This window comes from Homo sapiens, chromosome 15 (assembly GCF_000001405.40).
Source record: "Homo sapiens chromosome 15, GRCh38.p14 Primary Assembly".
Lineage (NCBI taxonomy): Eukaryota > Metazoa > Chordata > Mammalia > Primates > Hominidae > Homo > Homo sapiens.
In genome coordinates, this window is record NC_000015.10 from 94,308,692 (window position 1) to 94,320,066 (window position 11,375).

At 40.4% G+C, this 11,375-nt stretch overlaps 1 protein-coding gene across 26 annotated transcripts in view; it reads left to right on the forward strand.

The window, feature by feature from the left end:
• MCTP2 (multiple C2 and transmembrane domain containing 2) overlaps positions 1 to 11,375 on the forward strand; it is a 252,587-nt gene that overhangs the window by 77,326 nt on the left and 163,886 nt on the right. For 24 of the 26 annotated variants that reach the window (NR_169530.1, NR_169529.1, NR_169527.1 and 21 more), the window contains 2 exons: positions 5,591 to 5,653; positions 6,838 to 6,946. Coding sequence is in view for 19 of the 26 variants with exons in the window: in XM_047432839.1 (XP_047288795.1) it covers positions 5,591 to 5,653; positions 6,838 to 6,946 (172 nt within the window). In the remaining 7 variants the exon portion in view is untranslated. Of the gene's footprint in view, positions 1 to 5,590; positions 5,654 to 6,035; positions 6,174 to 6,837; positions 6,947 to 11,375 lie in introns of all 26 variants that reach the window. The other 2 variants (NR_169532.1, NR_169528.1) reach the window with 1 other exon arrangement.

Consider the following 11,375-nt stretch of genomic DNA (forward strand, 5'->3'; position numbering starts at 1 on the left):
CATTTCAACAGGGGTTGATAAACTTTTTTTTTAGAAAGGGCCAGAGCTTTGTGGGCCACAGGCCTCTGTCACAACTACTCAAGGTGAGGTCACATGACATTGGCCATAGACAACACAAGAACAAGTAGACAGCGGTGTATTTCAATCAAACTTTGTAAAAGCAAGCGGCGGGCTGGATTTGTCTCATGGGATGTAATTTACTGACTGTTTTATACCATCATATGCTTGAGCAAGGTATATGGACACACACACACGATTCAGATTTTGCTATTAGATTAGACAGTCAATACAGCAGGGAAATCACTTTTAGAGACCAGTCTTGGAGATGAGAGAGAATTAAATTTATACACCTTGATTGTATGATCCATAACCTCCTGAAAAGTGGTACAAAAAAATAAGAACAGACTTGGCCGTTTAGTAGGCTTGATTGTCTTCTGAATACACCTTCCAGTTTTGACCTCTCATTGCCATGTAGCTCACTTTTCATTCTATCACTGTGTCCAGTTGCTGCTTCCTGGTTAGTGGAGCCGTCTGATTCCTTTTGCTTATTTTGTAACTTCCTTTGTCCTCTATGTATTTGTGTTTGTGACTCCTGTATTCTTAAATATACATATTCTAGATAGACAAGATACGGGTTATAGATTAAATATGCAGTATGTATACATTTATATACTTTAATGGGGCAGTTTTTAAAGAGAATACTATTGATTTGTTCAGCCAAATTTTTACTCTTATTTAGCTTTTCTGGATGTGGGTTTATGTTTTCTTCCTCTGAAATGTAAACAAACAGTGACTGCTTACCTAATTTTTAATTTGGCTTCCTGTGTGTGCCTCATAGTAAGACCCTTCAGACAGCCACATGGGAGATGGTATTCGTACAGGATCACATTTAGTGTATATTGAAAGGAAAATGTTTATTCACAACAGTTTCTTGCCCTCAATCTCAAAGTCCTTGGTGACTAGAGAAGATTTTCTTTTTAAAATAATTGATCTGCCATTCCAGTGTCTCCCCATATCCTGCCGAATTTTAATATATTTGCATTCTTATGGTAGGAAAATCCACATCTAAAGGGAATGCAAAGTATGTATTACCTTCCCATAAATTTCAGTTTAGCAAGGCAGAATGGAAATATCAATGCAAAGTTGCTTTTATTTAAAAAAACACAAATGAAAAACACTTACCTGAAAGGCAGCAGTGAGAGCTATGCAAGGGAAGACTAATCTCATAATAGTGCTCATTCCAAGATGTTAATGCTGTGTTTCTGAATGCTAGTATGTAATTAGACAGTTTTGTCATATTGAGACTTATTAGCTTTGACAATATTTAAAATTATTTCTCTTCCTGAGTATGTACTTGTACAAAATTTGTTTGAAATGTTAAAATGATGCTTATTAGGTAAACAATCAATAGATAGTACATCCCCAGGATGGAACACTACTCAGCAATAAAAAAGAATGACGCAGATGACAACCTTTACGGATTTCGAAGGCATTAAGTTGGGTAAAAGATTCCAGTCTCAAACATTTAAATACTGTATGATTCCAATGATATGATATTCTAGAAAAGATAAAACTATATGATGAAAATATACAATTACTTGCCATGGTTCTAGAGTTGGAAGATTTGACCACAGATGGGGGTCAAAGTGGAATAGCACAGAGGCATTTTTTTGGGTGGTAGAACTGTTCTATTATTATGATTGTGGTGGGGGTTATACAAATATATACAGGTGTTTAAAACTATGGCAGTGTACACATGGAAAATGTCAATTTTACAGTGTGTTAATTTTTTTAAGTAAATTTTTTTTAAAAAGGCCAAGCACAGTAGCTCATATCTGTAATTCTAGTGCTTTGTGGGAGGCCAAGGCGGGAAGATCGCTTAAGGCTAGGAGATGGAGACCAGCCTGGGCTGGTGTGCGACAGTTATGGCAGCTGTGAGAAGGCATCTCTATAAAAATAAATTTTGTAAGAAAATTTATAAAATAAATAAAACTATTTTATTATAAAATATTTCATAACATAAAATAATATATAATACTACAACATATATCTATTTAAAAATTTTTATATTCTAAAATATTTATAAAATAAAACAAAACTTAGCCAAGTGTGATGGTGTGCACTTGTAATCTCAGCTACTCAGGAGGCCGAGGCAGGAGGATGGCTTAAAGTTCCAGGAGGTCGAGGCTGCAGTGAGCTATGAATATGTCAGTGCACTCCAGCCTGGGTGACAGAGGGAGACCTTGTCTCAAAAACAAACAAACAAACATAAACAAAAAACTAAGGGAATCCACAGTGCTTGGTTACATTTATTGGGAACTTTCCTTTTTTTTTTTTTTTTTTTTATTTTTGAGATGGAGTCTCACTCTGTTGCCCAGCCTGGAGTACAGTGATATGATCTTGGCTCACTGCAACCTCCACAACCTGGGTTCAGGTGACTCTCCTGCCTCAGCCTCCCGAGAAACTGGGATGACAGGTGCACGCCACCACACCCGGCTAATTTTTGTATTTTTATTAGAGATGGGGGGGTTTGCCATGTTGGCCAGGCTGGTCTCGAACTCCTGACCTCAGGTGATCCGCCCACCTTGGCCTCCCAAAGTGCTGGGATTACAGGCATGAGCCACTACACTCAGCCTAGGAACATTTTTTAAAAATCTCGTAATATTGGTATTCTGGGGTATTCCTGATGAAATAAATATTAATTCTTCTCTTTTTAATGAAAAAAGTAAGTTAGTGATGTAGTTTCTAGGTTTATAAAGCAGGTGAAAATAATGCAACTTCTACTCAACGAATAATACCACAGGCACTATGCAAGAGTGTGGGGGAATATCCAAAGTTATGTGTCCCCCAGCGGCTGTAACTCCATCCTCCTGTGCATATGGAACATTTTGCTGTTCTTTATGGTAATCACTTTCCTATCTTGGTGTTTATATATGGTGTGTGACAGTTACGGTGGCTGTGGGAACCATAACTTTAAGTTCTGTGACTTTTCTGTGAGTAAAACCAGCCATAATGTTGAATTAATGTCATTGCTCACATTGAATTTCCTTGTTGTTATAAGTGGAAGACTTATCACATATTTGAATAAAAGCTCTGTTTTCATTTTTGATAACATGTAAATGATGGTGGTTAGGTGGATTAATTTTGTCATTTAATTAACATCATCATTCAGTACAGTGAGGACAACTTGGGAGAATATATATGGTCCAGTCTGAGGGGTGATACGGTTTAATCATACCTCTGTCCACTCCTCCATTTGAAAGTAGAAGATACAAGACCATCATTATCCTTGGCTAATGACATAACACTTTAATCAAAAGTGTTATTATCCACTTTAGTGGATCCCAATAGTTTTGTGGAATTATCTTCAAAATGGGATTGGTTAGGTAGAGCATTGATTCAATTAATAGAACTGGAGACCATAGCATGTGATTTTTCAGGCTTCAGAGCATCAGCACCGTTTACTCTTGGCTCTGCATGTGAAGGCATGGTTATTGATGCTGGAAATCAGGCAGAACGATTGCATTTGATTGCATTATTGGGAAATGATAGTGTATGGTATAAAACACATACAAATAAATCTATTGATATTGGGAAATTCAGTAAGTTGAATAAGGTTCTGATTATTGGCATAAAGTGGACTTCAGAGAGTACTGCCCAACTCACCTGGGGGTCCTTTTATACATAACACATGCAGGAGATACCAAGAACTAAGGGAGAGGTTGTTTGGCAAAGGACCTGTAGCCTCTTTTCTTGTCTGTCATCAAGCCACATTGAGAGTTAGGGCTGTCTTCCTGCCTAGGCAGTGGTGGTACTTCCTCAGTCAGAGGCATATAGTGGCTATAGTGCCAGGGCCCTAGAAAAAGCTTGTGTCTGAAATCACTCTTGATCCTGTGCGAATTAACCTGAACTGAACACAGTGTATTCACAGTCTAGGGACATTAAACCTGGGACTGATGGGGAAAGAGGCAAGGGTAAGAACCGCAGATTACAAGAACCTTAGGGCCTCTTTGTCCTAGCCCCATGAGGCTCCATTCCTTCTTGTACTCAGGGCTCGTTTCTGCCCAGTTGCAGCCTTTCTCGATGTCACTGCATGCAGAGGCAGTGGGCCAGAAAGCCCGTCCTTGTTTGCAGCTCCTCACCATTTCTCGTGGGTGCTGAAGATTTGCCCCCTGGTCTGGATGTTTTGTTGCTTCTTGAAGCTGCACTGGACAGAGCGAATGTGTGTCTCGGAAGGTAGCCTGCCATCAAGCTGGATGTCTGAGTCATGTCCAGGTGGTCACTGTGCATGGAAAGGACAAATGTCATCAGTGCCCCTACCCGCAGTGGCTCATGGTTTCCTAAGCATTGTCTCCGGGGCTGCCTCTCATCTCCAAATTGGCCCATAGCAATGAAGTTATCCAGTCGTCTTTGGAGGGGAAATTCCGTGGTTTTCATTGACGCAATCAGTCCTGGCTAATGTGCCAAACAGGAATATCCTCAAATTGCTGGGAGGCCATTTGCCCATGTCCCCCCTCCACTCTGCCTCTCATTGCAGGCAGCTGTCCTCACATTCAGCCCAGAAACTCTGTTAAAGTTCCAGAAACAGATAAAATCTCCTTTGTGCCTATAAAAGCTGACACAACTGAGGAATCTGTGCCCCATACTAACTACTGCATGATGCAGGTGTCATTGCCCTGTGGACTCATTTCCTGGGTACGAGAAGCATTTTAAAATTGGGAAACATAGGGGCCGGGCATGGTGGCTCACGCCTGTAATCCCAGCACTTTGGGAGGGTGAGGCAGGCAGATCACGAGGTCAGGAGTCCGAGACCAGCCTGGCCAATATGGTGAAACCCTATCTCTACTAAAAATACAAAAATTATCCAGGCGTTGTTACAGGTGCCTGTAATCCCAGCTACTCGGGAGGCTGAGGCAGGAGAATCACTTGAACTCAGGAGGTGGAGGTTGCAGTGAGCCGAGATCATGCCATTGCACTCCAGCCTGGGCGACAGAGTGAGACTCTGTCTAAAAAAAAAAACAAACAAACAAATACTGGGAAACATAGACACCTCTCATTCTGAGGTCATCTGTTCAGAATTTGCATTTCCCAGTTTTGGTTTGGCGATTGACCAGTTGCTAGCCCCATGAAGGTATGGCTTGAGGAATGTCTCTCAGATCACTCTTTGAAACGTTTCCTTCCGAACGGACATGCTCGATTCTCTGGATCCTGAGCTGCTCGTTTCACATCGGAGGCTGGGGGCCGGGCTGGCCCACTTGGGAGGGATCTGGCACAGTGGCTGTGCTGCCCCGCTGCTTTCTCTGGGAACAAAGCTATTTGCATGCTAAACATGTGGGTGAACTAGGGATGCCATGTGGCCCAGCAGGGGCGTGCAGTTCCTCTTATCCAGTGACTTAGGCGGCAGAGGACACAGCTAGGATGACACCTCTGCATCCACGTCTCCTTGCCACACAAACAGGAAGGCGGCCCTCACTGAAGCTGCATATGCAAATATCAGATTTCCAAAGGAAAAGACCTGATAGAGGGTATCTTCCTGAGTTGGTATTAATTTGCTTTTGTAAAGCAGATTTTTTTTTCTTTTTCTTTGCAGAAGCTATGTGGAAGCAGTGACCTGAATGCTTCTATGACATCTCAACATTTTGAAGAACAATCTGTGAGTGGCATTCCTTAAAAAGAAACATTAAATGTTGTAGATATTTCTCATCAAATGTTTGGGTTTGTATTTTTTTTGCCTCTTTTATTGCTAAAAAAAAAAAAAAAATGCCAAACCGTATCCACTTACAAAACCAGGCCTTGCAAATTTTCGCTGGAGGAGATTAATTCAGTATCTATTGATTTGTCAGACTGGGATAGATTCTTCTAAAAATACAGAGTAACTATGAAATTGAGTGAGATAGTAAGGCAGATAAAGCCAGTTTGAAGTGCTTTGAAACTTTCAAAAGAAGGCTGTCAAGGGTGGCTTAGCCACAGGATCGATTAATTGAATGTCCAATAAGTGAATGATAAATGATTTTATTTGCCCTTTTCCCTTTAAGGACAGTCAAAAGTTTGAAATGACTCAAAAATTTAATTGGGCTCATGTAATACATATTCAAAAACAGACTTGAATTCTACAATATGGCCAGCAGGAGTTGATGCATTTCTGGAGGAGGAAGTGACTGAGTTGCGGGAAGGTGAGACTGTGAGGATTAGAGTAAGAGACACTAAGAGTGGGTGCCAGAGAATGAAAGAGAAGGGTGGAAAAGCCGGGAGAGCACTGGACAGAGACAATGTCCTTTGGGGACCCAGGGAAGAGCATGTGTCAGTTGGACATGTGGGCTTGTGGGGGCATCAGCTGAGTGCCCAGAACTGAAATTTTACTACACATGGAAGTCTACAGAGGTGATGGGGGTTGGTGGGAAGGGTGGAGAACAGGACGGGGCATCTTACATCTGAACTTGGAAGCGGGGACACATGTTCTTGGGAGCCAGGCCTGCAGCTGCACTTCTTCCTCCTGTTGCCTCTCTTGGGGCTCTACCCTGAGTTTTATAACAAGGGATCCTGCAGTAATTTAATGAGGGTATTTCAGAGGTTGGTTATCTAATTCTTGGAAGGCTAACCTTGCAAAGATGTAATCATATTTGCTTCTGAATACTGATAAAATCCCACTGGGGAGAAATGTAAGGGACTTTTTAATAAAGCAGGGTAACCAAGTTGTCATAGTGAGGAGGAGTTGGGGATGACAGTCGATCATCATAGTGGCCTTTCTTTTTTCCCTCCAAAATCGAGAAGTATTTCTGAAATTCTCTTGCTTGGGCCCAAGACATACTGTCTTAACTGCCTTCTCCATCTGTGCAGGTACCGGGGGAAGCCAGTGATGGCTTGAGTAACCTCCCCAGCCCTTTTGCGTACCTCCTCACCATACACCTGAAGGAAGGCCGGAACCTGGTTGTCCGAGATCGCTGTGGTAAGACCTGGGTCTGTTATGGTGGGTGTAGCCTGGAAACTTCTTTCTCTCTGTCCTTGTATCAATATTGTCAGTCAGGCTTTGACATCACAGCATGGTTTAGGATAGACAGTGGCTCAAATCTAAGTCTCTCCAGGTATAAGACATTTGCAGTGAATCATTTAAACACACTAAACCTTACTATCCTTCTTTATTATTAGGTTAATGATACGAATCATCACGTGAAGTTGTTTTAGAATGGAATGAGATAACTCTGATAGCTTTACGCCTGGCCTATGGCAACTGTTCAAGAAAATGTTTCCTCAATCCTACTTTAATTATTCATGAGAAAAATGTGAGCCCATCCTTAGTATAAGGTCATCAGATGTACACATTGACAGAAATGCCTTTGAAACTATCTCCCTTCTGCTTTGAAATCTCACTGGACTCCCTCTAATAGCTAGTGTCTGCCTGTGATTGTTTTATTTATCTTTTACAAGTCTCTACCTAGCCATAAATACATACCTGTATATTTTTAAATGTACAGGTCTTCAAAATTGACCATGCTTTTCCATGTACATATATTGCCTTTCTTTTAAATACTACGTATTATTTAATGTATAACTATGTGCATTATGTATAATGTATAATGTTTTGTTTATCTATTTCTCTACTGGTGGTAGCTGTTTTTTTCCTTCTGTCTTTGCACTATAAATGATGCTGTAATGAACATATTGTATATGCTTCTGTGCACAGATAAGGCTAAACCTTATATTAAAATGGCATGTGGTTAAGAGCAGACAGTTGAGCTAGACTACCTGGGCCCGGATCTTGGCTTCTCCATTCATGGCTGTTGGATCTGAGAAATGTTGCTTGACCACTTGATGCCTTGGGTTGTTTATTTGTAAAACAAGGATAGTAAGATTCACCTACCTTACAGGCTGTTGGGAAGATGGCAGGCATTAACTTATATAACGTCCAGTATTCAATTGAGTGTTTTCTTCTAAATTTTTATAATTCTTCATAATTTTCAGCATTGACATTAGTTATATATTGCAAATATTTTTCTCCCAGTCTGTTGCTTATCCTTAATTGTATGGCCTCTTTTGTCCTTTAGAAGTTTTTCATTTCATTGTAGGCAAATATATCTGTTTTTTTCTTTATGATATTTATTTATTTATTTGGTTCAGTAGCTGAGGCCTTTTTATTCTAAAGAGTTCTTTTTCTTGCTTCGGTTCTTGGACGGTTTCTCCTGTTGCTTCCTCTCTATTCTGTTTTGGAACATCTTTTCAATAAAGGAAGGGTCTATTGACTCTTTGATCTGTCTTCTATGTCTCTTAGGTTTTCTTTTTCATTTTTCCCATGACTTTTTCCTCTCGGGAAGAATTCTTCAGCTTGATCTTCAGCTTGCTCATTTTCTTGTCAGTTGTTTACATTGTACTGTTCTGTTTACCAATTGTTATGTTTTTCATTTTTATAACCTATTTTGTTTGACAATCCCATCCCTTTTTGAGAATATTAAGTATTCATTTAAAATATCCTGCTTGCTGCTCTATTTCTTGGATATCAGTTTAATGTATTGACTGTCTCCCATTTAGGACATTATTTTCTTTTACATGTTTGATTCTCTGGAGCGGTTTGCTTATCATTTTATTTGTGTTTTTCTCTTCCCCCATCTGTGGATGTTATTTTTGCTTACTATGTCCTGCAATTTGGTGATGATGAGGAGAGCCGGGGCATGCTGCAGGACAGGGTGAGCCGGTAGTTCAGGCTAGGTTCTTCCCATTCCTCCTGGTTATCACCTGCCACTTAAAGCTTTTCTCTCTGCATACGCCTGTGCTATCTGCTTCTGCTTATTTTCAGGTGCCTTTGCCGGGCATTGCTCAGCCTCAAGGCATAGGACAGTGCTGGCCCATCCAGCTCTCTTTTTGTGCTGAACCCACCAGTCACACTGAGCTGCACTGGCCATCTTACCTGCTGCCTCCAAGCCTGGAGCATTCGTGGTTCACCTGCCATACACCCTTCCACCCTCCTACCCTCCCACTCCACCACTACCCAGAAACATCTTTGCTGTGACTCTCTACTGCTCATGTCTCTGGATATGGATTCTTTCATGAACTGATCTCATGTGGCTTTCATCTTTCAGAACTGTATGAAGTATGTCCTTTTTTTTCTTAAAATTTCTCTCTCTCTTGCTCATGTTTTCTCAGATGTAGCATTTTAAAATAGTGAAAAAATTATTGCCTACTTGTTGGTAAATAGTTTTTTTTAATCAAAGTCATAATTTCTTACCTATCAAGTGTATCCCTTCTCATTTCTATTATTATTATAAATGTATCTATTTTTACAACTGCATCTCTTGTGTTCTTTTTAATGGCTTGGGGCAGATAGCATTTTATGCCTGAAATAATATCTGAAAGATGTAATCATAAACCAGTGTAGGGGTGCCTCCCACAGATATCCTGATTCTTACCCTGATCCGGCACAGTGTCCAGTGGTTACTTTTGTCAAAAATGATTATCAAATTCATTTTGTAACCATTTCTCTGGCGAGTAGAAGAGTGTTCTAGAGAGTGTGTATTTTACATTACTAGGAAGAAAATGTTCTCAAGCTACATGTCCTGTTTTACATTTATGGAATTTCTTCAAAAAAAAAATTTTTTTTTTTTTTTTTTTTTTTTTTTTTGAGACGGAGTCTAGCTCTGTCGCCCAGGCTGGAGTGCAGTGGCACAATCTTAGCTCACTGCAACCTCCGCCTCCTGGGTTCAAGCGATTCTCCTGCCTCAGCCTCCCAAATAGCTGGGATTACAGGCACGCACCACCATGTCCAGCTAATTTTTGTATTTTTAGTAGAGACGGAGTTTCGCCAGGCTGGTCTCAAACTCCTGACCTTGTGATCTGCCCACCTTGGCCTCCCAAAGTGCTAGGATTACAGGTGTGAGCCACCACGCCCGGCCAATAGTTTTTAAGTTTAGGGATATATACAGGCCCTGGACCTCTTCTGTTGGCCAACTACTCCTTTTCTAGCTTTCTCCATTTTTTTCTAGTTCTTTCTCCCTCACTGCTGTCAGGCAATACTATACTTCTCTATCAAACTGATGCAGTTACAGCAGATTCCGAGTAGATGGTCAGTACACTGATTAGATGATGAAGCCGTTGCACACATCGGAAAATGATACAATAGGGCTTATGTGCACTTGCTCCATATCTTGCTGTTTCAAGACCAAAGTCTGCTCTAACCCCAGCCATTGTCATCTCTCTCTGCAGAGTTTCATCACAGTCAAAACATCATGTGAGAATTTGGCTTTTATTTTGTGCAAACCTAATATAATCCAAATGTAAATACCTAATAAGGAGTCTAGGTCATAAACTGTGCTGTTTCAGTCCCCATTTCTTTTGAAACCAGTAGTAATTGTTCTTGGTTTTTTTTTTTTTCTTTCATTTTGGGGATGCTTTATTGTTATCTGTTAAGAAAATACCCCACTCTTTCAACATTTTTTATTTCATTTTTATACCTTGGGGATGCCTTCCTATGCTCTGACTATGTCAACTTCTGTTTGATTATCACAAGTATTAAGATGAAGGTATGATCTTGAGCCTGCTCAGGGCAAGACGGCATTTGAGTGTCTACTGTGGGTTCAAGAAGGGGTCCTCATTACTAATACATGTGCTCCCTCACTCCTGCCTCCTTTGCCTAGGTACAGCGTCACTTTTCAATACAGCATTATTTTCTACAAAACCCAACCCAGACTCAGAAGTTTTATCTAACACAATCCTTTGGACCAATAGTTCTCAAAATTGAATGAGCCTCAGAAGAGTCTTAGGAACTAATGAAAATGCACATCTCTGAGCCCCGCACACAGACTCTCTGATTCAGTGTGTCTGGGGTGGGGCCTGGGAATTTGCGTTTCTAACAAGTTCCCAGGTAAGGCTGATGCTGCTGGCCCAGGAACCACACTTGGAGAACCTTTGCTCTAGGCAGTCCCTGTCACAGGTGGGTGTCGGCACATGAGAAGAAACCCATGCTTCTCCTTAGAGGTAGAGTTTCAACTCTTGATTATGTTAGCCAGACATTGTATTTTCCTGGGGCTTTTTCTCATTACCTGTTTGCTGTCTGTCATTGGTCTCAGCTTTACTTAATTTGTATTGGAATATAATTTAATTTAGTATTAACCCAATTAAAACAGGTTTAAGAAACTGTGTGATATGCTAAAGTACTAACTATAACATGTTTTTGGCTTATCTATGCATTTACAATATTTAGTCTTTATAACGTGTTCTCCAATTCTGTAGATACTAAACCAATAGCTTATTGTTGCAATAGGAAGTATCTTTCAATACAGACTCAGATGGCATTTGTCCTATGCAGTCTTTTATGTTTTTCACAGGCATAAGCTCTGTCTCACCTCAATCTTATAAGATTTTACCTTTATAAAACATATACCTTTATC